Source organism: Homo sapiens, chromosome 20, assembly GCF_000001405.40.
Source record: "Homo sapiens chromosome 20, GRCh38.p14 Primary Assembly".
Lineage (NCBI taxonomy): Eukaryota > Metazoa > Chordata > Mammalia > Primates > Hominidae > Homo > Homo sapiens.
The window spans coordinates 17447315-17475007 of NC_000020.11; the positions used below are offsets into that span (position 1 = coordinate 17447315).

Below are 27693 nucleotides of genomic sequence, written 5' to 3' on the forward strand. Positions count from 1 at the left end.
ATATTATCTTTTGGGGCTTGGGGCTTTGCTAAATAATAAAGCAAGAATACAAATGAGCAGGAAAGACACAAAAAGATAAATTCAACTTTAGTGAAAAAATATATAACTCAAAACAATAAGGTACTATTTTTACCCACCAAATTGGCAAAACTATTTTTAAGAAATGACAATTCTAAATTATGACGCATATGAGCTGAATATAGAGTTCTCATGCACTGCTGGTAAACATATAAACTGTTAACAAACTTTATCAAGAACAATAATATGGCAGATGGACTAAGAATCGTCATTCATTTTTTTTCACCCAGAATTTCCTCTTTTAGAAACACTGCCTAAGAAAATAAACATACAAAGACATATATAAGATTATGTTCATTTTAAACATAAAGCACTTTTTTAAAAACTAGAGACAGCATTCCATGTACATTCAAGAAGAGGTGTAAATAAATTGCGGAATGGCTATTTCATAAAACTAATAAAAAATTATGGTGTAGAAGAGTATTTAATCACATAAAAAAAGTCAATTATATAAATTGTGAGAAATACATTTTAAGCAGGCCAAGAAAGTTGATCTATTTTTATTATCCCAATTTCACTTTCAAGCCCGTTCTTATACTTTGCATTTATATGTAAAATTGGCAAGAATCCACAAAATATCACCAGTGATTATCTATTCATGTAAGATTATAAAGGACTTTTATTTCCTTCATCTTCTATATTCCAATTATTCTATAATAAATATTATTTTCATAGTAAAGAATACAATAACTTTTTCCAAGGTATGCTAATGTTGTATTAAGAAATTAAGGTGACTGGAAAATAAAAATTACTATAATTGTTTACAAAAAGATAAGCTCTCCCAGGCTTGCCTCACCAGGGGTCTGCACCCTGCACCCATACCAACCCCAGACCAGCACCTGTTCTGGTCATTAACCCTGGTGGCTACCCATTGGTTAGGGTGGAGGGACTGACTCACTTTAGCCACAAGTTTCTCAGAGTGGGATTTCCACCTCCTCAAATGTAGGCAATGCGCTGGGGACACAGCAAGCCACTGCACCAGTCTCTAGCTGGAATGTCACCTTAGCTGACGGTAAGCAATTTGTAACATTCTTTTTATATTATGAGCAAAATAAAAAAATTGCTTGAATGTTTCAGAAATTTTGGGCTTGTGAGAGGCTACTTAAGGCCATGCCCAGCAAGTTCCAACTCACTGCTCTCACTGAGCAGGGTTTCTCAGCCTGGGCATATGGACATTCTGGGCAAAATACTGTTTTGTCGGTGGTGAGGAGGTTGTCCTTTGCATAGAAGTTTAGTAGTCTCCCTGGCCTTTATGGACTAGATGCTAGTAAAACACACATGGTTGTGATCACCAAAAATGTCTCCATCACTGCATCCTGGAGAAAAAGTCCACACTAGTTGAGAACCAGGGTGGTTAAGTACACTCCATAGTACCTAGGTTAAAAGTTTCCATTTGGTAAAAACTTTTGAGAAACACTGTAATCCCACTAAACTCCAAAAGACTGGCAGAATTCAAAGTGGAGTTGCACCACTCACTTAATTTCACCTAAATGCACTTGCCTTTTTTTTTTTTTTTTTTTCCTTTCACCCAGGCTGGAGTGCAGTGGTGTGATTATAGCTCACTGCAGACTCCAGCTCCTCAAACTCCTGGGCTCCTCCCGAGTAGCTAAGACTATAGGTGTGCCTCACCACGCCAAGCTAATTTTTTCTTTTGTACAGATGGGGGTGAGTGGGCCTCTCGCTACTTTGCCCAGGCTGGTCTCAAACTCTTGGCCTCAAGTGCTCCTCCTGCCTCAAGGCTCCACTTCCCAGAGCACTGGGATTACAGGCATGAGCCATCAGGCTGGCCTACTTGCCTCAGGCAGCTGACAGCCATTCCACTCACTGAGCATGAGCTGCAGGATTAGGGTGGAGACCCCGCCCCCCAGCAGACAGCCCCACCCACAGTGCTGGCTCTTGGGTCATGGCCTCCCTTTGTCCTTCAGCTCCAGGGCCACCCTCTAATCCATGGGTGAATTCCCATTTCCCTTTTGGGTTTTAGGCTTTCCTTTAACACCTATTCCCTGGATAAAATTCCCTCTGTTGACCTGCCAAGTGTGGCAATATTTGCCTGGCTGAATTTCAATTGATATATTGTATATTTATTGGGATAATGTTACATATATATAAATATACATATATATATGTATGTATGTATATATATATATGTATATTTGAGACTGAGTTTTACTCTTGTTGCCCAGGCTGGAGTGCAATAGCGCGATCTCAGCTCACCGCAACCTCCGCCTCCTGGGTTCAAGCAATTCTGACTCAGCCTCCCGAGTAGCTGGGACTACAGGCATGCACCACCACGCTCAGCTAATTTTGTATTTTTAATAGAGACGAGGTTTCTCCATGTTGGTCAGGCTGGTCTCAGACTCCCGACCTCAGGGGATCCACCTGCCTCAGCCTCCCAAAGTGCTGGGATTACAGGCGTGAGCCACTGCACCTGGCACATTTATATATTAACATAGGGAAAATTGACATCTCTGTGATCCTGTCTTTCTATTCGAGAATATGGCCAATATCTTTCCATGGGATCAAATCTTCATCTTCGTCCCTCCTTCCATAGAGTTCAGAGAGGTTCAAAGCCTTATTTAGCACTTCCTTAGCTTTTTTTTTTTTAAGTTTGTTGAATTTCTTCCCTTTTTTTTTTTTTTTTTTTTTTTTTTTTTTGTGACGGAGTCTCACTGTCGCCTAGGCTGGAGTGCAGTGGCGCGATCTCGGCTCACTGCGGGCTCCGCCCCCTGGGGTTCACGCCATTCTCTTGCCTCAGCCTCCCGAGTAGCTGGGACTACAGGCGCCCGCCACCTCGCCCGGCTAATTTTTTGTATTTTTAGTAGAGACGGGGTTTCACTGTGTTAGCCAGGATGGTCTCGATCTCCTGACCTCGTGATCCGCCCACCTCGGCCTCCCAAAGTGCTGGGATTACAGGCATGAGACACCGCGCCCGGCTCTTCCTAAGTATTTTATCCTTTATGTGGCCAGTGTAAATGGGGCTGCCTGTAGGGTGGCTGTGAAGACTGAATAGGATAATATGTGAAGTACTTAACAAGTCCCTGGCATGTAGTAAGTGCTATGGAAATGCTTGCTGTGATAGTCAACCTTTGTTTTCTGCACTTCTTCCTCTAACGGGTTATGGTTTAGATGTGAGCCATAGTTGTTCTGTCTCGATTTCTGCCTAGCTCCTGTTCAGGTGAAGCTGAGAGGCAGAAATGGATCAAGCCTTAAGCAGATGCCCAAGATCAAGGCACTGGCAGGTTCAGTGTCTTGCAAAGGCTCACTCTCTGCTTCTAAGATGGTGCCTTGTTGCTGTATCTCATAGAGGGGACAAACACTGGGTCTTCCCATGGTGGAAGGGCCAAAAGGGGCCTAGCTATTTCCCTGGAGCCCTTTTATAAGGGCAGTAATCCCATTCATGAGGACCAAACTCTCATGACTTAATTACCTCCTAAAGGTCCCACCTCTTAAGACTATCATGTTGTGTCTCAGGTTCTAATATATGAATTTGGGGGGGACATATAAGTTCAAACCAAAGTAGGGTGGCATGCCAGCAACAGCCCCATCCCATAACCAGCTCTCAGTCCTCTTATGGAGGTCCCTTCCCCACTCATTTCTGCCCCCAGAACTAGAGAATTTTCCTCACTGGCCCATCTTCCCCAGAAGCCAGAGACTTTTTGGTGCTAAAACCCAATCACCAGAAGCAAGGACACAATTATTATTGCTTCATGTGTCCTATCTAGCTTAAGAAAACAAAGTTTAATATTCCTAGAAAACGAAGCATTCTTGTGGGCAAGTCTCATGGTTTAAAACAAAATTAACGTTTGCTGTTTACTGTTCACGGTTCAGAAACAGGCTGACAATTGCTCTCTGTGTAACAGTGAGCTGGCTGCATAACAAACTGCCCCAAAACTCAGTAGCTTAAAATAACAATCATTTAATTTTGCTCTTGGGTCTACAGGTCAGCTGCGTTGTTCTGCTGATCTGCACCAGGCTAGGCTAATCTCAGGAGAGTGAGTTAGAGACTGACGGATCGAGGATGGCTTCCCTCCTGTGTCTGGCAGCTGTCAGCAGGGGCAGTGAATTTGACTGGAATACTTCTCTCTTATCAATCAGGAGGCTAACCTAGGCTTATCTTCATGGTGCAACGGAGTTCTGGGAGAGATCAGAGAACATAGGAGTTCTTGGGACTGATGTTTGGAACTGATACAGAATCACTTTCCCCCACATTCTATTGGCCAAAGCAAGACATAAAGCCAGCTTGGAGTCTAGGGGTAGGAAATAGACCACTCTTCTTGATGGATGGGGCTGCAAAGGCATAGTGCACAGGGCATAAATACAGGGAATCATGAATAATTAGGGTCACAATCAATCTACCACACTCCCCACACAAAGAAGAGAATGTTTAGCATCGATTTCCTTCATTTTAGCAAACGTTGCTTCATCTCACTAGCAGTCTACATATGGACTGATTCAGGAGAAAGTTCTGCAGATGGTCAACCTCACTCACCCATTTATTGTGAAACACATCAGTTGTACTTTGCTTTTTTTTTTTTTTTTTTTTTGAGATGGGGTCTCGTTCTGTCACCCGGGCTGGAGTGCAGTGGCACAATCTCGGCTCACTGCACCTCCCGAATAGCTGGGATTACAGACATGTATCACCACACCCAGTTAATTTTTGTATTTTTAGTAGAGACAGGGTTTCACCATGTTGGCCAGGCTGGTCTCGAACTCCCGACCCCAGGTGATTCACCCACCTCAGCCTCCCAAAGTGCTGGGATTACAGGCATGAACCACCGCGCCCGGCCACACTTTTGCTATTTCTTGATACCGAGCCCAAATCTGAGTCTGTTTGAGAGTGTGATCCTCCACACCAACTGTAGGGATATCTATTTCCCTCGCTGTCCTGGTTTCTGAGAGCAGTTCCTTGTTTTGGTTGGAGTTTTCCAGCATAGATTTACCAAGATGCTGAGAATAGTTCCCAGCTAGTGGTTGAATAAATATTTGTTCACTTGTCGATTCAATCAATCACAGGCTGATTAATTCCCAGTGCTGTTAGAAGTGATTGAAAATGTCACATCTGATTGTCAGGCGGCAGAGAGCACTTGGAGGTAATCCAGTCATCTCTCTTCCTTCTGGCTTCTCCACTCTTAAACCACTGATTCTGTGTCAGTTTCAAGCGTAAGGACCATGGACACCTGGTGACCACACAGGGAGAGACTTTCCCTGACAATCTCTTCTGTCTTCTCCCTCTAGAGGGTAACCAAGCCACCCTGGGCCAGGCTGTGGAGTGGCTGGAGGTTGCACCTGCCCCTTGCCTCCGGCACTGCATGGCTGCACTCCTATCCACCCTCCCAGCCCACAGGTGAACACTAAGCAGCCCCAGGCCCCATTGCCTTGGGGTAAGAAAGTGGGAAGCAAGAAACTAATGGTCCAATCCTGGGTTGTTTAGGTAGAGAGGAAAATACTCAGAAGACAAGGAAAAGGATTTTTAAGAACCTCTAAGAACATGGTTTGAGGAGAAGAGCCATGCTAACTGTAGGGACTTATGCAAAGTTTGCCATTTAAACTAATTAGCATGTGGCAATAACTACTGTGCTTACTACTGTGTGTTTAAGGTTTTATTCACTGTGTGTTTTACTTGATCATATTAGACTTTCCTCCTACATTTGGAGTTCCCTTGCTCAAGTAAAATGTCATATATTATGTGTTTAAAAGGATTCTAGTATCCAATTGAATAAAAAAGAATATATACATATGCACACACACGTAAGATTTTTATATATCATGGAGTAAATGTATGCTTTATATTTATAATGTCTACATATCATATTTAAATTTATATATTGATATATAGCTATTTAAAATAAAAGGTATATATCTTCTATAAATGTTTTGTATAGCTTATGTAGCTAAGAAAAATTATATGTCCATATACTTGCATTTTCACTAAAAAATGTCTGATACATAAAGAGATGTAAGAATGAGATAATAATTACCTCTAGAGAGTTGTTTTTTATTTTCCTTTCCATACAGTTAGACTTTTCATTGTGAGCATGTACCACCTTTCTAGCTTTTTTAAAAAGCAGTTTATTTGTAAATTTTAAGACAGTTCTTCCAATTTTCTTACCTCATTATCCCCAGCTTAAATTGTAAATTCAGTTGACTTTTTTAGATTGAATTCTTCCTGGAAAAAAAAAGTTTCCCACAATGCCCTGCCAGAAGGATATGGTGTCCAACCCAGTTTAAAAAGTGCACCCAGTCTTTAGGTTCAACTGCTGAAGAAGCCCAACCCCTGGGCTGGAGACCTCCCCTGCCCCCTCGCAGCCCAGGCTGTGGGTAGCGGCAGCGTCTCCCCTGCTCTCCCCAGGGCCGCGGCGGCAAAGGCAGCATCTACGTGTGGGCCTCCGGGGACGGCGGCAGCTATGACGACTGCAACTGCGACGGCTACGCCTCCAGCATGTGGACCATCTCCATCAACTCAGCCATCAACGACGGCAGGACTGCCCTGTACGACGAGAGCTGCTCTTCCACCTTGGCTTCCACCTTCAGCAACGGGAGGAAAAGGAACCCCGAGGCCGGTGTGGTGAGCACGTCCCCTTCTGTCCTTGTTTCCTTAGGGCCACTGCACCTCTGTGTCAGGGTGGGATGCTGGGACACTGGCTTGCTCCCCTCCTGTCCCCTCCCTCAGAGCCTGAACTAAGGCTCTGAAGGGAAGACCCCTTTTCTCTATGCCCAGTCCTGCTTTCTAACAAAGCACAGACCTCCCATCTGCGAGCTAGTAGCATGATCGGTGAGGACTCCTTTCTGGATCGTTTTCCATAGATTTTCTTGTTTATTGTTTCTGGCTTACAAGTAATGATGAAGTCTGGTTTACCAATCAGTTGCCCCATTCCATCACTTACAAGAATAACTAACTCATTGTAAGAACCAAGGCATCACACTGTAACCCTGTCTGAAACAAGAACCCATCTGTTTATTTATAGCAATTTAAAAAACAACATTCACGGATGGACTTTTCTGGATCCATAAACCCCGTAAAATTGCACACACATCTGTTATTTTCTCAGGGAAAGAGTTGTGATTTTCATCATATTTTAAAATGGAGCCATGATTTTTAGAACAAAAAGATTAATAATCACAGATTTATTGTTTGTTGCTCTTTTCTGAGCAAAGAAAAAAAAATCTTCCTTTCTTGGCAACTAGGTATAATGGTGAATTTTCCAAGCCCCTGGGAAATACATCATCTGTAAAGCATAATAAGCTTTTTTGGATCTTTTCCTCTCTGGAGATTTTGCTCACAGATCAGCCTTTTCTTACACCTCCAAACCAGGATTTAGTAGGTGGTTCAGTAGTCATGCATGAATTATATCCTGACTGGCTGCACCCATCTCCACTGAGGCTTCTTGAGACAGGAGGACAGGAGCTCAGGACAAAATCATTAGTACCATCCAGTGTTTCGATCCCACGCTCCCACGTGGGATCCCAACTTGGCAAGATGGCCATGCCCCTGCGTGAGCGAGGAGAAGCCCTTTACCTGGAAGGGACGCAGACCTTAAAAGCCTGTCCTTCCCACGAGCCCTCCTGCATTCCCCCTTGGTCTTGGGGAGGATGAAGAATGTGCCAGCTCCTCCCAAACAGAAGGGGGCTTTGACCCCTCTTATCCTGTAAGCTGTATGGACAGAAAGGGAGAAGGGCAGAGCAGACAGGGACAGGTGAGGTGACACTTCACTCTCACGCCTGAAAGCTCCACTCCCTACCCCAAAGACCTCTCAGTGGTGTAAATTTGTCCTCGACCCGTATTTATGACTCTTTCTACTTGGGCTGGCTAAAGGCCTTGAGTTTCCTGTGAGTACTATAATTTTGCTCAATAGATGCCCTTAAACCTCCCTGGTAATTTCTTCCTCAAAATAATAAGCTCTCTTGAGGATCCTACAGACAGAGGAAGAATTCCCGTCGTTTATACATGATTTTAATGAACACCCTGGCTCTCACAAACATTGAAAATGAGGTTTTTCACTTTGTGAAAGTCCTTTAAAAATCTGTTTACCAGTCTCCCCTCTAAATAAGAGTTGTGGAGGTGATACCCACATATTGGGTTGTCTTGACTCAACACATCTCAGAATCTCTCCGTGGATTTTAGATGTAGAGAAACATGTTTTAATAGCCTGCCCTTCTAGAGAGACTTTAGCTGAGCATGTTGATTCTTTCCTCTTCGGGAATGCCTTCTTTCCCCCAAGAAGGAAAAAGAAATGCTGATGAAGTGGCCTTTGGCCTTTCAAGGGCCAGTCCCAATGCAACAAAACTAGGGTGGGGGTATTGACATCACTTTCCACTTCATAATGTTTCCTTTTAGGTTTCAGGAAATAAATCTCTCTGTAGTCTCTGGAATAGCCACAGATATGCTTCTTTGAACAACTCATTTATCTTGTGGACACTGTAACTATAACTGACTATATATCCCCTTTTACGTGGGCTACTAGGAAGCTCAGATAAAATCTAGGGCAAAAGAGAGGCATATGGATGCTAAGTTTATCCTTAGTTTCATCTTAATCTTCTTGGGAACAAAGCATAGGTTAAATAAAAGGAGTAGGCTGGGGGCAGTGACTCATGCCTGTAATCCTTTGGAAGGCTGAGGCAGGTGGATCACCTGAGGTCAGGAGTTTGAGACCAGCTTGGTCAACATGGCGAAACCCTGTCTCTACTAAAATTACAAAAATTAGCCGGGCATGGTGGCACGTGCCTGTAATCCCAGCTAATTCAGGAGGCTGAGGCAGGAGAATCGCTTGAACCTGGGAGGCGGAGGTTGCCATGAGCCAAGATCATGCCACTGCACTCCAGCCTGGGCAACAGAGTGAGGCTGTCTCAATAAATAAATGAATAAATAAAAGGAGTAGATAATCCCCTGCTCCACATTGTGCGGGGGTTCAAAATAGCGTGATTTATCCACTCATTACTCATTATCTTCCCTTCCAGGCAACCACAGATTTGTACGGCAACTGCACTCTGAGGCATTCTGGGACATCTGCAGCTGCCCCCGAGGCAGCTGGTGTGTTTGCACTGGCTCTGGAGGCTAAGTATGTTCATAGCTCTGGGTCCAGGGCCAGCTCTGCAGGGTGGACTAACACGTGTCTCTCTGCCCACATGCCAGGTGTCCATGGAGGGAAAAGTTGATGTGAGAGGCCATGAATAGTCAGGGCCAATGAACTCTGCTGTGCATTTCTAAGTGGCCCATGTGCCCACCAGCACACGTGCGTGTGCATACACACACACACGCACACACCATAAAACCACATTCCTGGGAGCACACAACACCCAGCAGCACGTATTAGCAACTTACTCAGATACCCAGTGAAGGCACAGAGATATTTCTTTCTTCATCAAATTTACCCCTCTATCCTCTGTGTATCCCTGGGCTCTTCTACTCCAGTGATATTCACAATCAGCTACTTGAAGACAAATCAAATTGCCAGGCTGGTGTTTCAGAACATGTGGCAAACAAAGTGGTCCCACTCAAGATTTGTTAATTTGTGAAGTGGATTCACTTTTTAACACTGAAACAAGATAGGCAAAGTCACGCAGTGTAGACCAAGATATGGGCTTTCCTGGGAGACCTTCCAAGCTGAAGGTAAGAGGAGACCATCTCCTATGTCCTCACCATCCTATGGAGAGGCCACATATTGCTACTGCTGGACACACCTTGGATTTGAGTAGCAGTGGAGGTACCTGCCCACCTGCTACTCTACTTTCTTTTAATGATACCTGAGGCTGGCCTTATGTTCACAGAATGAACACATGGGCTTCAGACACCACACACATAGTGTGAGTGTAAGTGCCGGCTGTGTAGGGAATTGTCAGAGAATGCAGTTCCCAGCAACTTGTGAGAAGTTGGATTCAGTCTCTTGGGGAAGGAGAGTAGAGTTGCTAGGCAACCAGGGCTCCCAGCATCAATCTCTAGGCAGCCCTGCTTGTCTCTCTCCACATAGGCAGTGCATTTTCTGATTTGCAAAGGAGGCAGGAGTTGGTTCCTAGAATAGAAAGGGGCTTCAACAGATTACCTAGTTCAACCCTCTACCTTCACAAGAAAAGGCATAATTATCCTCCCTTTACAGATAAGACCCCAAATTGAGAGTGACTTCTCTTTTTGGACAAGTCTAAACTTTGACTCTTCTAACAAAATTCAGATAGAAAATTTATGATGCCAAGACACTGGTCAAAGCTCAACTATTAGGCACAGAGACCTCTGCCCTATCAAGCACAGAAAACAAAATTTACTCATATCCAATGTACATTTCCTGAAGATAAAACTGTTCATCTCAGGGTCTGAGTGGGCCCTGGAGCCTGAGCTGGCCTTGCTCACTGCATCCGCAAGGAGACAATTAGCACAGCCTGCTGCCTGTAGCTGAGCTGTGCAGAGCCAGGGAACAGGAGTGCTCCAAAAGCGAGAAGGGTTTCCGGTTGCCCTTTCAACCTCAGAAGTCAGGACTTGACTCACAGTCTTCTGGATTTTTGACAAACAAAATCCTATGCCTATGCCTAGATCCATAGGCACACAAATGGAAGACCTAAATAAATCAAAGTGGGGGAGTGAGGCTGCTGGACTCCTAGAGATTCATGGCTCTGCCTTGATTAGTCACCATTCTTTTAGCACATACGTCCAGATATCCTACAGAAAAGAATGCAGTCACCATTCAGGCATGCTTTGTTTTGAAGCAATGATCATGAACTTAATATTCTCTGCTGGCATAAAGAGGAAAAAAATATAACACCTGGCAGCTTGTGGGTAAGTCCATCACGGGAGCCGGTCCTAAAATTCTTCAAAATACCAACTTTCTGAGGTTGGAAGCAGACCCTGAGATGAGATTTTGGTGCAAGTGATTTATTAAGGAAGGGATCCCAGGAAAGGCAGTAAGGGAGTAGGGGAAACAAGTTAGGGATGGGGAAGAATCCAAGCAAAGGTTCAACTTCAAAAGTTCTGGCCTCAGTCTAATCCCGAGTGTAAATTAGGCCTCAGAGTTTGTTCTACCTCCAGGCAAGGAAGCAGGACTGTCATATTCTTATATGAGTCAGTCATCGGCTAAGAGCTACTCTGGAGAAGTAAACTCCAAGGCATCTCTAGCTTTAGGCAAAGCGGCTCCAATAGCCAAAAGTGAAAACCATTGGTCAGGATGAGATACTCCAAATGAGAGCCCAGAGGGATGAGGAATAGGGCCTCCACAGAGCAGTCCCAAAGCTCATCTCTCTCTTATCTTGAGATAAGGTTACAGGAAGTCCTCATGCATAACAACAAATTATCTAAATGTATGTCCATCAGGACCTTGAAAGAGAGAGAACAACACTTCCCCCATCATGACTGTAGGGGAGAAAAAGAAAACCATCTCTCTCTCCTAACCAGTTGTCACTTTGTAGTTTAATATCATAATGTACTTTTCTGCCTAATGCTTGAAAATGCCTACTTGAGTCACAGGAAATATTGCTCCCATCTCCCAGTATCACCAATATCAGAGAAATTTCAAAGAATTTTAGTGGGGGATGACTGCCACCTTCGAATATTTAGGTTTCTCTCATATGACCTGGTGCTTTCTCTGTGGTCCTAGAGGGTGAGCTAGGCTCGAGGGGTAGATGTCATAAGAAGATCAGTTTTTGACTCAAGAAAATCATCTGGAGTAAAGTGGTCCACATGCTGGACTGGAACAACATTTCCAAAACTGACCTTCCAGGGGATGGATTTTTAATGTAAACTCTTTAGCGAGTATAGTATATAGAAAGAAATTCATTAGGTGTGGCTCCATGACATTTTAACTAAATGAACAGACCCATGTAGCCAGCACCCAAATCAAGAAACAGACGATTTATGTGCCCTGTTGCTCAGCAGTGCAAGAGATTCCTCCATGTTCCTGTATGTAGTTATAGGTCGTTCATTCTCATTGTTGAATATCATTCCATTGTATAAATGGATATTTGGATTGTTTCCATTTGGGGCTACTATGAGTGATATTGTTAGGAACATTCTTGTACATGCCTTTTGGTGAACATACAGATACATTTCTGTTGAGCGTCTACTAGGGAGTCAAAATGTTGGGTCATTAATATACATATGTGCAATTCTAGTAGATATCGTCAAATAGTTTCCTGAAGTGGGTGTACCCATTGACCCTACCTTGAGCAGTATATGAGAATTACAGTTGCCCCACATCCTTGCCAAAATGTGGTATTATTAGTCTTCTATATTTTAGCATTCTTATGGATGTGCAGTGGAGTCATATTATAGTTTTAATTTGCACTTCCCTCATAGCTAGTGAAATTGAGCACACTGGGTAAAGTTTTTTAAAAAATACATTCCCAAGCCTCACCCAAGCCTCATAGAATACAAATCCCTAGGGATGGGTGGCCCAGGAACCTGACTTTTCAATGCCTGTTCCCCGGGAATACTTAAGCTGCCAGCCTGTCGCTGATCTGTGAACTAGGGTGTGAGGATGATCAATAAGGCAATAGCTCTGTGAATCTATGACTCTGGGTGCAGAGTGTGGGTAGCTGGCTTCTGCCTCTGATTAGGTGTTGGTATTCAGTCAAGATTTAATGTTTCTGCATGAAACAACGAATCCAAATAATAACAGAGACAAGGGTTTATTTCTCTGTCATGTGAAAGAAAATACAGAGATAAGGAACCCAGGGCTGGTTTAGGGTACCGGGGTACCATTGTGAATCAGGGAATCCAGCTCTTTCTAGCTTTCTGCTCCTTTGCTCTGCCACTTTCATGTTCTCTAGACGTGCTGGAACTCCAGCCACCATGTTTACATTTCAGGCAGGAAAAGGAGAAGCACAAAGGGCAAAAAAATAAATAAATAAACAAATAAAAGAGAGAGAGAGAAGGAGAGAGAGAAAGAAAGAGAAAAATAAAAAAAGAAAGAAAGAAAAGAAAGAAGGAAACCAGCTGAGTCAGCCATGTTGAAGGGGTTTTCCAAGGAGCCCCACCCAGTGGCTTCTGCTTATTTCTCATTGGCTAGAACTGTCACATGACCACCGCCACACTTCAAGGGAGGCTGGGAAATGTAATTTTATAGCTGAATGCATTGCTGTTCTGAATAAAACTGAAGTTTTCTTAATAAGGAAGGAGAAAAGATAGATATGGAGGGAAATACAACTGCTAATGTCTTCTGGCATCTAAGTGGACAATCACTCATCTCTGGATCTCTATTGTCTTATCAACAAAAGGTAGCAAGTTAGATCATCAATAAGGTTCCAATGACTTCCTGGAATATTTTAGCTCTGCTTCTGAAATATTGTTTTTTTAGGGAAGTTAATATTTTAATTGGATGTCTGGTGATTTTTAAGGTTGAATATGCCTTAAAGCTGAAAAACGTTCATTTACATACTTTTAAATATTGAGGTCAATACTTAGGAAATAGTAATCTAATTTACTTTAACTTCTGATATATGTGATATATGTTATCATTAATAATAATAAAGTCTTTTTATTCAGTGTCCAGCACTGTGCTAGGTACTTTACATACATAATTTACATTTACATCCTGCAACAAACCTATAAGGCCTTATGCCCATTTTAAAGATGTAAAGGCTAGAGCTCGAATTGTTAAAGTAACTTATCCGAGTTCACACAGTTGGCTTTAAGCATTAGGATGCCTGTTCCACTGGGCTCTCGGTGGAACATAGAAAAGGCCCTGCCACTGTCTTGCCTGTGGGGCTCACCACTCATCCTGCCATGGCAATGGGTTGCAGTGAATGAGTTAGCTCTTCCTCAAACATGATGCACAAAATCAGGTTTCACTTTCTTTGAGATGAGATTTTCCACACCACAACTACACCAGGGAGTCATGAAAACTGAATTTCCTCTCACGTCCTTATAGGACGTGAGCAAACAAAGGCTATGGAGAAAATACCAGCTTGACTCACAAATGCATTATTTTTCTCAGACTGGAAATAATCCAACCTTTGAAATTATTTTTTAATCCTATCAAAATTTAGAGGATAGACTCAGAATTTTAAAAATGAAAGAAAATGAATGGATCTTTTACGACTCCAAACATCTCTTATGATGAAGAGAACGAGACCCAGAGAAGTGAAACAACTTGCTCCAGGTCACACAGTTTACATTGTCAGATAAAGATCAGATCCAACAAGTAAAGGGATTAAAATTCTCCTGTTGACTTCTAGAATTTACCAGATGTTAGGAGAAGTGATTCCTCCAACCTTAAGACTACAGCATCATCTTTAAAACATTTCCATTTTCAATTTCTCTAAAGATGCATGTGCTGACTTTAAATTACTTTTGCTGCCTTGATCATTAGGAGGAAAATGTTAATTGGGTTCAGGGGAACTTGATGCTGTAAATAGAAGTACTATGCTCTGAAAGAGAATGGTGAGGGAACAGCCTTGCACACGAGAAAAACAATCCATTCTGTTAGAAGTCAGGTTCCTACAAAGGATAAATGCTTGAGGTGATGGATACCCCATTTACCCTGATGTGATTATCATGCATTGCATACCTGTATCCAAATATCTCATGTACCCCATAAATACATACACCTACTGTGTACCCACAAAAATTAAAAATTAAACATTAAACAAAAAGTCAGTCTGCTGGTCAGCCACTTCCTAAGAGATGCTTGCTGACCCCTGGACCCAAGTTTCTCAGATTTCCTGATGATCAGAATCCTGGAGTGCTTGTTAAAAACACAGATACCCTAAGCCCACTGGAGATCCATAGAATCAGAATCCCCAGGGGAGCCCCTGGAAAGCTCTATTTTTCACCAGCGCCCCCACCCCCACCAGTGCCGTCCAGGAAGTTAGGAAGCTCTCCCCTGAACGAGGTTTGCTGCATACTGAAAATACTAAATGTTTGGAGGAATCCATGGAATCAAAACCTCTGAACCTGGACATCATTTTTTTAACCATCCCCAGGTGATTCCAATGTGCAGACAAGGTTGAGAACCACTGTCCCAGACTACCAATGTTCTCAAACATCACTGTACAGAAGAATCATTTGGATTAAATGCAAATTCTCAGGCCCACAATCTCCAAGATGCTGATTCAGGACAGGTGGAAATTCACATATGTCACTAATGGTCCTGACACAGGGGGATTGAGGATCACAGTGAGAACTCCTGACTAGGATAACACAGAGGCTCCACTGATGCCTCCCTCAGCATCCTGAGCTCCCCCATCATGACAGCCCTCACATTTTCAATACTGAGTTGTCCCTCTGTCCCCCTAGGCTATCAGCTGGTGGGGACAGGGACATCCGTCTGACATGCCCAGAGTTAGCACGATGCCTGAATGTGGTAGACACTCAACAGACATCCATACAATCACTTCATTGCGCAGTACCTTCTCATATATCTGCATCTTATTTTCCCGACTCATATAAAACATTTGAGAACAGGGAAGAACATGTCACATTTCTTGTCCTACAGTCTCCAAAACAGTGACCTGTATATCGCAGATACTCCATAAATTTATTTTTTAATTATTTAATAACTATCACCTGTAATTCTTGGGCTGCTATGGTACAATTAAAGCAGGTTGATGAAATAAATACCTACTTTACAGAATATTGTAGTCTGTCAATTCCTAAATCATTCAGAAGGGATACTAGAAGGAACCTGGTTTTACTCTTCAGACATATGCAAATAGCAGGTCAAACAGTGTCATAGACTCAGTTACACTGGAGAGTGAACTATGCTGTGGTTTATCTCAAAAGTGAAAAGTTCCTTGTTCTGAAACATTATTTCTCTCTCTCTCATGCTCTCTCTCTTTCTAAAATGCACCCCATGAGAATAAATCTGCAGAGAAACATTTAAGGGAGCCCTTCTCCAGGCATCAGAAGTACAGCCCATTTTCATGGCAAAGATGAGAAATGAGAAACCTGCTAGCCAGCCCTCTGGTCATTTAGATCCTCATTTGTCAACACTTCTGAGATTAATAAACTCAGAATCCCCTTCCAGCAAAACACTCAGTTTTTAGCCATAATCAACTTAAGGAACTTTTACACCATTTTACATCATTTACACCATTTTACACCACTTACATCATTTTACACCATATGTCCAAGACATGTTCTGAATCTCCTCAAATAAGCATTGACCTTCCTTGGAACTTGCTTCTTTTCTTTTTTTCTTTTTTTTTTTAATTATACTTTTAAGTTCTAGGGTACATGTGCACAATGTGCAGGTTTGTTACGTATGTATACATGTGCCATGTTGGTTTGCTGCACCCATTAACTCATCCTTTACATGAGGTATTTCTCCTAATGCTATCCCTCCCCATCCCCCCACCCCCCACACACACACATGACAGGCCCCGGTGTGATGTTCCCCTTCCTGTGTCCAAGTGTGGAACTTGCTTCTTAATAGAAGAAGGTCTGCATTCAAGAGCACATGGATCATTTGAACTCTTGGTTCTGATTCAGATCTTCCAACCAATGAACTTTGCATATGTTGAAATTTTATCAAATGAGTTATGTTGCTCCTGGTCCTTTGAATTGTTTGACTTCTGAAGAGAACTGTAGTGCAAGGTTTTGCCAACTTTTTGACCAGAATCCTCGGTGAGTAATAAATTTTGCACTGCAGCTCAGCACACACACACACAGCTACCCTCCAAGTATTTCATGAAAAAATAGCTTCCTGTATTATGTGCAGTGCATACTGCTTTTCTATTCTGTTCCATTCATTTTTTAAAATAATAACACCAACCATTAAATCACTGGTTCTCAACATTGGCTGTCTGTTGGAATGGTCTGAGAAGTTTTAACAGTTTCCAATGCCTGGGTCTCACTCCCAGAGATTCTGATTTACTTGGTCTGGGATGAGGCCCTAGGCATGAGATCTTCAATGCCCCTAGGAGAAAATTTTCATGGGCAGTCCCAACAACCTGTGCGATAACCTGGCCCAAAAACAAATCATGATTTGCAATTTGAAAAACATAGACAATGTGTAGTAATAGACACTAATTTCCAAAAACAATAACATTTACAAGAAGACTAGTTTATTCACTGAACAATGTGCCAAGGACCATCCTGGACACTAAGGATATAAATATGCTAAATATAATTTCTCTACCCTTGAAGAACTGGTACCCTCCTTTTCAAAAATGGAACACACCCACATGCCAGTTCCCAGATGAAGGGACAGCAAGACCAGCACTCAGAAGCTCCCTGTATCCCCTTCCAGTCACTGCCCCACGAGACTGACCACTAACATGACCTCCAACAGCATAGATTAGTCATTCTTGTTTTTATATTTTAAACAGATGGAATCATACTTTATGGTCTCTTTTCTGCCTGGCTTCTTTAGGCCAACATGGTATTTGTGAGATTTTTCCATGTTGTTCAGAGTACCTGGAGTTCATTCATTCTCACTGCTGTATAGTACCCCACATTCTATAAGTTACACCTCAATTAGTTTACTCCCTATCTTTTGGATGGCATGTAGGGGTTTCACAGTTTGGGGCTAGGAGCATTCTAGTACACAGGTCTGGTGAATATGTACACATTTGGTCAGGTATATGCCTAGGAAAAGAATTTCCAGGCCATAGCTTAAGCTTAACTTTAGAAGATACAGCCAAACAGTTTTCCAGTTTAGTTGGAATTACTTGCACGCTCATCCACAAAGTACATGTGTTCCAGTTGCTCCACATCTTCAACACTTAACATTGTCAGTCTTTTTCATTTTAGCCATTCCGGTGTGTGTGTTAGAATAGACTTTTGAAATCAATTTATGTAAGTAAGAAAAGCAAGAAGATTTCTTTAATTGACTTATATAGTGGTTTTGAATGGTGCATGGACACCCTCCCTTGAATTTGAGAGTTCACAGAGATTCCAAAATCTTACAAGAGGTCTGTGTCCTGAGTAATATTTCTCTTAATCATTGTGCCTCTCTCCCTCTCTCACCCTGCCTTTTGCCCTTGCCCTCTTGCTCTCTGCTTCCTGTATCCAGCCTGGGTCTGACCTGGCGGGACATGCAGCATCTGACTGTGCTCACCTCCAAACGGAACCAGCTTCACGACGAGGTCCATCAGTGGCGGCGCAATGGGGTCGGCCTGGAATTTAATCACCTCTTTGGCTACGGGGTCCTTGATGCAGGTGCCATGGTGAAAATGGCTAAAGACTGGAAAACCGTGCCTGAGAGATTCCACTGTGTGGGAGGCTCCGTGCAGGACCCTGAGTAAGTGGGGGTAGTGGTCCCTCTGCTGCATGTGGAAAGTGCCCCTGAGATGGCTCCATGGCATTGGCATAATATCACATTCCCTCTTCATGTTTGGGTCAACTGTATTTTTTGTTTGTTTGTTTGTTTTTTTGAGACAGGGCCTCACTTTGTCACCCAGGCTGGAGTGCAGTGGCGTGATCACAGCTCACTGCAGCCTTGAACTTCTGGTCTCAATAATCCTCCTGCCTCAGACTTCCAAGTAGCTAGGGCCACAGGCATGCGCCACCACACCCTGCTAATTTTTTTTATTTTTTGTAGAGACAAAGCCTCACTATGTTGTCCAAGCTGGTCTCAAACTCCTGGGTTCAAGTGATCCTTCTGCCCTGGCCTCCCAAAGTACTGGGATTACAGGTGTGAGCCACAATCCTCGGCCTGGATTTGACTCAGGGACAACCAGTTTCCAAGCAGAGCTGCAGGTTTGCATAAATCCAGGAGGCACCATTTACATAGAACACAGAACCCCTGCTTTTGGTTGTGAGCCTTAACTGTTTCAGTGATGTATGCCATTATTTCTAAGGGCACAAATCAACCACTATAAACATCACCCAGCTCAATAAGGAGAACATGACTAACACCCCCAAAGGCCCCCTGCCGTGACCACTGCCATTAACATCCCCATGCCAGCGTAGCCATATTCTTACTTCTAACTCCATAGCTTAACTTGCCTGTTCCATACTTACTAGAATCATACACTATGTCCTGTTTTACAACTAGATTATTTCGCTTGGAGTTATGTTTGTGAGATCCAGTCATGTTTAATGTGTACTTACAGCTTTTCTCATTGCTGAAGAGTGTTCCAGTGTATGACTATAACACAATTCGTTTATTCATTCTACCTGTGGGACAATCTAAGGACTTGATTTTCCGCTGAGTGAGGTGGATTTTGCCACTTGGAGGGATTTGTGTATGGGGTTCCCTACACAGAAACCACAGCGTTAGTCAACTGCACCCACTTCCCTTCCAACTGCCCCACCTTGGCAAGTGGATTGGTCAGTAAGGATACTTCTTAATTTCTCTCTGTCCTCCTTGATGCATTAGTAAAATGGAGATAGTAATTTTTATTATTATCACTGAGGTATTATTTACATGTCATCAAATACACAGAACTTAAGTGTATCATTTGAGTGTTGATAAATGTATACACCCTGGTAACTACCACTGAATCAAGAGATGAGGCATTCCATCAACCCAGGAAGATTCGTCATACCTGCTTCCAGCTCGTCCACACGCTCCACAGGCACCCTTTGTTTTTGCTTCTCTCTCTGTAGATTCGTTTCACCAGTTTTCAGACTGGACTGTGTCCAGTTTCTTTTTCTCAGCATGAGGCTTGTGAGATTCGTCCAGGTCACCATGTGTAGTCGTAGCTCATTCATTCTCATTCTACCTTGAGAATACACCTCCGTGGCTTACATCATTTAAATGGTGGTAAAATTCATTCCCTGCCAGGGTCATATTTCCGAGGACCATCGAGCCTGGCCAGAGTCCAACCCCTCTCAGACTTTATCCTCCTCGCCACTCTTCATTGGTCCTAGACTTGCTGCATCTCTTCTACTCAGTTACCCAGACCTGAATTCCAATCTTGACTTCACCAACTTAGACAATACTTTTGACATTTCTGACCCTCTGCTTTAGCAATTCTCAACCTTTGTGCCCTGTCTCCCTTTGACAGCATGGTGACGTCTATGGGCCCCATCAGTCTAATGTTCTCCAAATTCATTAGATAAAATGCACTGGATTGCAAAGGAAACCAATTATGTTGAAACCAATTAGAAAATAAATTCATGCTGAAATATATGTCCCCTTGTCAGCACATTAAGTAAAAAGCTCTAGTGGCAAGTCTAATGGCCACAATAATTTCAGAGCAGCAGTGATGACTAATTGCTGCTGCAGGATCCATGCAGTGGCTGTGGTGGGACACGAAAATCTGCCAGCTCTTTGATGACAAAGTCCGAGGAGGAGCTAATGCCACTCTGCTTTGTGGCCTGCATTCATAATCGAAAGAGAAGAAAAGTTTCTGTTATAATCTAGTGAAAATTAAAATGTGGAATTTTTTCCATTGAAATTATTAGACCCCCTGAATTCTATCCAAATGGGCCCCAAAATAAGAGATTTTTTTCTCTTTCCTCACCAGTAAAACGGAGCTAATGTTTTTCCTCCGCAGGCTGCTGGGAGACTTTAGCAACACACAAGTCTACAGCAGGCACACAGTAGGCACTTAATAAATGTAACATTGCCTCTCCTTCTCATTCATGACTAGATGTGAACACTTCTAGCTTACACCTGTAGAATCAAAAGACAGTAATCTCCTAGAGTTTTTGGTGAAATAATTGTCTGATTTTTATGCAAATTCCAAATCAGATATCCTCTCAGCCTAAAATATCCTCCAATGGACAAGCATGTGCCCTGGGATTCCCATCCTCCCATGGGCCAGCAGCCTGCCATAGATGGGCTGCCTACCATAGGTAAGCATCCTCCCACGGGCCAGTGTCCTCCCGTAGATGGGCAGCCCACCATAGGTCAGCATCCTCCCACAGGCCAGCATCCTGCCATATACGGGCAGCCCACCATAGGTCAGCATCCTCCCATGGGCCAGCATCCTGCCGTAGACGAGCAGCCAACCATAGGTCAGCATCCTCCCACAGGCCAGCGTCCTGCCGTAGACGGGCAGCCCACCATAGGCCAGCATCATTCCACAGGCCAGCATCCTGCCGTAGACAGGCAGCCTACCATAGGTCAGCATCCTCCACGGGCCAGCGTCCTGTTGTAGACAGGCAGCCTACCATAGGCCAGCATCCTCCACGGGCCAGCGTCCTGTTGTAGACAGGCAGCCTACCATAGGTCAGCATCCTCCCACGGGCCAGCGTCCTGCTGTAGACAGGCAGCCTACCATAGGTCAGCATCCTCCCACGGGCCAGCGTCCTGCTGTAGGCGGGCAGCCTACCATAGGTCAGCATCCTCCCACAGGCCAGCGTCCTGCTGTAGACGGGCAGCCTACCATAGGTCAGCTCCTCCACGGGCCAGTGTCCTCCCGTAGAAGGGTAGCCCACTATAGGTGAGCATCCTCCCATGGGCCAGTGTCCTCCTGTAGACGGGCAGCCCACCATAGGTCAGCACCCTCCATGGGCCAGTGTCCTGCTGTAGACAGGCAGCCCACCATAGGTCAGCATCCTCCCACAGACCAGCATCCTGCTATAGACGGGCAGCCCACCATAGGTCAGCATCCTCCCAAGGGCCAGCATCCTCCCATGGACAAGCATCTTCCCATGAGTGAGCATCCTCATTGTTTACTCACTGAACCCCTAGAAAGTGGCACCAAGTGGATTACTGCCAAGCTGAGTATTTTTTTTCCATGAAACAGTCCATGATTTAAGAAGGCCTCACTCTAATCAGCACCACATGGAAAAAATAAAGCTTCAGCCCAAGCCCTATAATAATCTAAAAACACAGAGCTGCCCAAGTCCCAAGTGATGTTACAAATGTCCTATAATAAAAATAGCTACTCTGCACAGTTCCTCACCATTTTCCAAAGCTTCTGTGTCCACACATCATTTCTGTTCACTCCCGTATCCCTCCTCTTGGCAGGACAGACTTCTCTGAGCTCTAAACAAGTTGATTGACACAGTCAAGCCCACAGAGGCTGTAAATGTGAGACTGGAAGTCACTTTTATTGAGTGCCAACTGCATGCTATGTGCTTTCATACACGTAAGCTTCACAGCCACCCTATTGTTGAGGGTGTGCCTTATACTCGCACAGTCGAGGTGGGAGCAGGGGTGAATATTTTGCAGCCTTAACAACAAACTGGTCCCATGCTGGGTGTCAGGGAGAAACACCAACTAGGTGTGGTATATGCTAGGCCCATTTACATTACTGTATTTAATCCTTGTAAGCCCAGGAGGTGTGTCCTATCATTATTACTTTTTATACACAAGGAAGCTGAGATCCAGAAAGGATAAAAAAAAAAAAATGTGCTCAGAGTCACAAAGGGCAGAGCAGGACTTGAAGCAAAGCCCATCTAAACCCAAACCCCAGGCTCTTTTCACTACATGACCTTGACCTTAATCAGCTCCCGTGCATACAGGTCCTACATTAGGCCGTATGTGAGAGCAGCCCTACTGTGAGCTCACAGTGCCATTACTGATGACAGGAGGTTGGGAAAGGTCAAGGGCATGCTAAATGTCATCCAGCTACTAAGCAGCCAAACTGGGATCTGAGCCCAGTCACTTTGACCCCTCACGGTGGGCTCTCAGGTATCTCAGTGACTCCCCCTGGAGAAGGTGAGGCTTGGGTAGGGGAGGGAGTTTCAGTAAACATTCCCCTGGGGATTCTGAAACACCCACCTAGTGGGTGCTCCCATCTCCCAAACCCCATCACTGGCATTCCAGAGGCCCTTTTCACTGGTCTACAATGCCAAGGTCTGCCGTGTCTTTTGGGAATGAACAAAGAGACAAGACTGGGAACCACTGTCCAAATGGGGGATTTAAGGCTAAACCCTACTCATCATAACTAACTTTACCCAAAGTCAACATGAAATGGGCGTTGACAACTGTTTCCCTTGTTAGAGTTCAGAATAATTTCTTGAGAAATTTGGAAGTGCAGTGACTTTCTGCAGTGGTGAAAATGTTCTGCACTGTCCAATACAATAGCTTGTGGCTATTGAGTGCTAGAAAGTGGATGACCGTGATTAAGAAACAAGAGTTTTCATTTTATTTCATTCTCATTAATTTAAATTTAAATAGCAACATGTGGCTGGTGGCTACCATCTTGGACAGCCATGTCTAAGGCACATCTGGTAGTTACATCTTAGCAGGAGGGATGCTGAATTGTGCAAACCGAATGGGAAGTGGAGATTTAATAACATAAACTCTATGAAGGGGTGTCAAGAAGATGAGACTGCAAGAAAGGCTTGCTGGTCCATTTTATAGCCTCATGCCTTCCCCCAGCACGACATCCAATTGCAGCATCCTAGAAGCCTAAAGGCAGCCTTGGGAGGGTGCTAGTAAGAACTGCTGCTAAGAACTTCTCTCGGAAAGTCACTGGGATAGCACTTTATTCCACTATCTCATTTAATCACAGGAGGTTGGCATCCCTAGTCTTAATTTAGGTGAGAAAACAGGATCAGACAAATAAAGCAAACGGCCTTAACTCCAATGTCCTTATCCATTCCACAAGGCCCTGGGGCCTGGTACCTCATTCCCTTATTGCAAAAGGAGAAAGACTTACGATGTCTGTGCCTTTACAGACACTCTGCAAGCAGGGAGTGGGGGCTGGAATGTCCCTCACAGGCAGTGCAACTGGCACGATATCTACACTTACTTGCATATAAGCAATATTTACAATTAACAAAAAGGCAGCACCGTTGCAGTATTTAGGGGAAGAGTTAGCTTGGAATGTACTGCGGCCCTCTTAGTCAAGCTACGTGTCAATACCAGGCTATATTTTCTGAGATTGCACTGGACAAGCCAGACGGACTTCTAATGATCGTCAAGCACCATATGATTATGAGAGAGGGCAGGAGGGGAGCACCGCGGGAGAGAAGGAGAGAGAGGGAATGAGGGCGTATGCTGAGATGAACGGCAGTTTATCTCCCAGTTTCTGAATATGCTTAGCATTCCATCATAATCTGCATACATGTGGAATTTAAGGCCAGAGAGAACACTGGAAATAATGTTATCCAAGTCCCTGTAAGGAATCTGAGGTCCGGAGATGTGATCATCCCAACATCTCACAACTATCCAGGAACTTTATGCAAGATCAATGCAGTGTTTTCAATGAAGAGAAATGGGAAAGCACTATATTTCAGCACTAACTCAGTTGGGGCCTCCCAATGGACTGGGCCCTCGTCTGTCATATTCATGGTGTAACCCTAGTGCCTACAATAGTGCTGGGCATATAGTAGACAGGTGATAAATATTTTTTAAATGAATGAGGGAATGAAAATATTCAGCCAGCAGCAGCCGGACACAAGGGAAATGTCTGACTGCTGGCAATAGGACCGGCGGGCCAGCAAGGCAAATGTGGGAAGGAGGCTCTGCCTTGGTTGGAAGGGCTCTGCCTCCTCTCAGTGCCCTCCGGTCCCTCGTCCACCCCCACACCAGAACTTGTTCTCAGATGCAGATGAGTTAGGTCTAGGGCAAATACACTTGTTGAAGAATGCAGAGGCTCCACAGGGAGATTTGGAGAGCAGCCCCAGGGCTGGCTGTGCCGCTTGACAGAGGAGGCCCTTGTGACCACGAAGCACACTCGAGGAGCGGTGGGGTACAGGAATCAACAGCCGTGGCAATCGCCACTCTCCATAATGTGCAGGGCTGCACAGAAACAGCTTCCAAGGTGGAGTGAGTGGTGATTGTCAGGTTTGTGGGTTTCCTTGGCATTAATCTTCCCGGAGATGGAGTCAATTTGAAAAGCAATTTTCTAAAGAGGCTTTATCAAGAGAGTCAGTGAAGGATGCTCAGCTACAATCAAAGGGGAAAATACACCTGGCTGTGACCAGCTGCACCAGCTGTGTGTAGAATGAGCAGAGCCAGCCCAGGCCGGCCCCATCAGCCAGCTGGGAGTGACCTGTCTAACACAGCTGCCCCCAGCCCCTCTGGGCACCCTGAGGGGACTGTTCACTGAGCTCCTTTAAGGCTGTGCCAAAATATGTGATCCAGCTCTGAAGTTTAAGTGAATTTGGAAATAAATGTTAAAACCTGGTATCAATGCCGGAAGCAGCATGGGAGTGAGAGGTCAGCGTGTGCTCGGCCCTGTGCCACCTGGGGGACTGTGGACCAGCACTCCCGAGCTGCAGAGGCTTCCTGCACAAGTTCATGCCCACCTGACTCTGCTACAGGGGGAGGAGAAAACCTCACCATGGCCACCTGCTGCGTGTCGTCATGTGACTGCCACAAAAGCAGGCATCTTGGGCACTTGAGAAAGAGTGGCTGTCATTGTTACTATTGTGATTATTCTATCAAAACAATCACAGCCTTATAACTTTTTCTTTTTTTTTGAGACAGAGTCTTGCTCTGTGGCCCAGGCTGGAGTGCAGTGGCACGATCTTGGCTCACTACAACCTCCACTGCCCAGGTTCAAGCAATTCTCCTGCCTCAGCCTCCTGAGTAGCTGGGACTACAGGCATCCACCACCAAACCCGGCTAATTTTTGTATTTTTAGTAGAGCTGGGGTTTCACCATGTTGGCCAGGCTGGTGTCGAGCTCCTGACCTCAGGTGATCCGCCTGCCTTGGCCTCCCAAAGTGTTGGGATTACAGGCATGAGCCACCACAGCTTCATAACTTTATCTTACAGTTGAAGATTCATAACACAAGAAGCATTCCCCAGGGCCTCCTGGGAAGCAACACCTATTTCTTGACACAAGGCAGTTTAAACACTTACTTGCAATGATACACAATAAAATAAAGATACAAGCCACCCCGACAACCCCAAGTTTGTCTTTTATAAGACTGGAACACTACGATTTTGCATGTTATCTCTAATAGGTCAAAGAAGAACTCTTTTTTTTTTTTTTTTTTTTTTTTGAGATCGAGTCTCACTGTGTCACCCAGGCTGGAGTGCAGTAGCGTGATCTCAGCTCACTGCAACCTCCGCCTCCCGCGTTCAAGCGATTCTCCTGCCTCAGCCTCCTGAGTAGCTGCGATTACAGGTACACACCACCATGCCTGACTAATTTTTGTGTTTTTAGTAGAGACGGGGTTTCTCCATGTTGGTCAGGCTGGTCTTGAACTCCTGACCTCGTGTTCCGACCCCTCGGCCTCGCAAAGTGCTGGGATTACAGGCGTGAGCCTCCGCGCCTGACCTAAGAACTCTTAAACCTCCAGAAAGCATGCTTCATTTTCTGCAGCAAATGAGCTCCAGATCATGGCCTGGAAACTAACACCCTGTGACTATTTAAAATGTTTCTGCAGAGCCTCTTTTTGTTCCACCACCAACCTCCTCCTATTTAACCTTCTTATAAATTGATAATTCCTGAGCATATATCTCCTTTTTGCTTTAAAATAAGAATGTTTCATTCCTTTTCTTCTCATAAAAGCAATACATGGTCACTGTAAGAAAATCAGAAAATGCAAGTGAGCAAATGAAGAGAGAAACAAGAAACATCTGGAAAATACTGTTCCTAGGCTCTCCCAATGCCACGATGCCAGCCAAAAAAACCTGACCTGTGAGGGGAGAATGGTGTTCTTTCTCTACCAAGTTCGCTGCCTCTGGAATTCACAGCATGCTTTTAATTTAATTTCATAGTAACTTAATATTCTCAGAAGAGTCCAGCCACATGTCTCCTCTCTCAGCAGACCCAGCTCCTGTGCAGGAAGCAGTTCACATGGCAGGGCAGGATCGGGGCGTTTTTCTAGCTGGCAGTCTCTCCGTGGTGCTAAAAAAGCCAGACTCCTCAGCCAACGTGAAAAGAGTTGTTCTAGTGCTGGGATGATCTCTTATGATGGAAGGAGAGAAATACAGATTGGACCAAACCTGAGATGACCTTCAGGCACACCATGGCTAAGGGGGTTTCAGTAGATGGTGACAGTGCCTCTTGTTCAGGTCCCCTTCACTGGGCTATGCACCACCCCAGCTACTGTGGGCATTGGCTGCTAACTGTGGTCTTCTGCCTGTGTCTCTGAAGAATCACCCTCAGGGGCTATGGAAACCTGGCTGAAATAAGAATACATAAAACCCATGCTCCTGCCTCCAAGCAGGACAACTGTGTGGTGGCGTTGATGCTCCAAAGCCAGCATGGCCTGTGACCCCCAGGCACACCCCAGTGTCCAAGGCTTCTAGGAAAATGTGTGATTCTTAACACAAGTTTGTGTGTTTGTCCCTACTCCCACCTGTCTTTCGGCTTTCCAAGGTGCATGGAATATGTCTTTCAGTCTCCCTCCATCTCTCCCTTGCACCCTCTATCACAAATGCACACCACTCACTCTCAAATAAGACCTTTAGCCTGGGCAATCGGTGGCCTGTGTTCTAGTTTCCCCTTCTCAGCCTCGCTGTCATTTTCCCTCCCTTAGTCTTAGTCGCTAAGGCCTTCCCCATGAGCGTGGGGCTCCTGGGAGAAACAGATACGACAGCCACCATAGAAGATTCACACAGACAGGAACACACCGGCCCTTGTTGTTCTGCCAGTGAGGCTCCTTCTTGGGACTCAAATTCCAGGCTCCTCTGCCATGCCCTTAATGTCAAAGTGGTCGCCGGCCTACATCTATCTTTACAATAACTTCTTAAGGGCTTTTTAAAGAAAGCAAAAGAAGTGAGGTGACTGAGCCCACAGATGGAATGAGGCCCATATTCTGTATCACCAACGATGACATAAATATAGTCAATAGTCCTCAGACACTGTGCAGAGGGATGTGGTAATCAGTTTCCAATTGCTCTTCTCCAGAGACAGATAACACCTGTTTTAGGTTGGGTTGCTCGGAAGC

General features: G+C 44.5%; 1 protein-coding gene across 3 annotated transcripts in view, besides 1 other annotated feature; it reads left to right on the forward strand.

Annotated features, from left to right (window-relative positions):
* Positions 1-27693, forward strand: part of PCSK2 (proprotein convertase subtilisin/kexin type 2) — a 258472-nt gene that overhangs the window by 221208 nt on the left and 9571 nt on the right. For all 3 annotated transcript variants that reach the window (NM_001201528.2, NM_002594.5, NM_001201529.3), the window contains 3 exons: positions 6428-6643; positions 9034-9134; positions 18012-18239. In NM_001201528.2, coding sequence (NP_001188457.1) covers positions 6428-6643; positions 9034-9134; positions 18012-18239 — 545 coding nt within the window. The remainder of the gene's footprint in view (positions 1-6427; positions 6644-9033; positions 9135-18011; positions 18240-27693) is intronic.
* Positions 2870-3395: an enhancer, noted in NCBI's record as "NANOG hESC enhancer chr20:17430829-17431354 (GRCh37/hg19 assembly coordinates)". NCBI's record gives its function as "activates a minimal SCP1, AML or CMV promoter by ChIP-STARR-seq in naive H9 embryonic stem cells {active_cell/tissue: H9 hESC(naive)}" and the evidence as "EXISTENCE:reporter gene assay evidence [ECO:0000049][PMID:30033119]".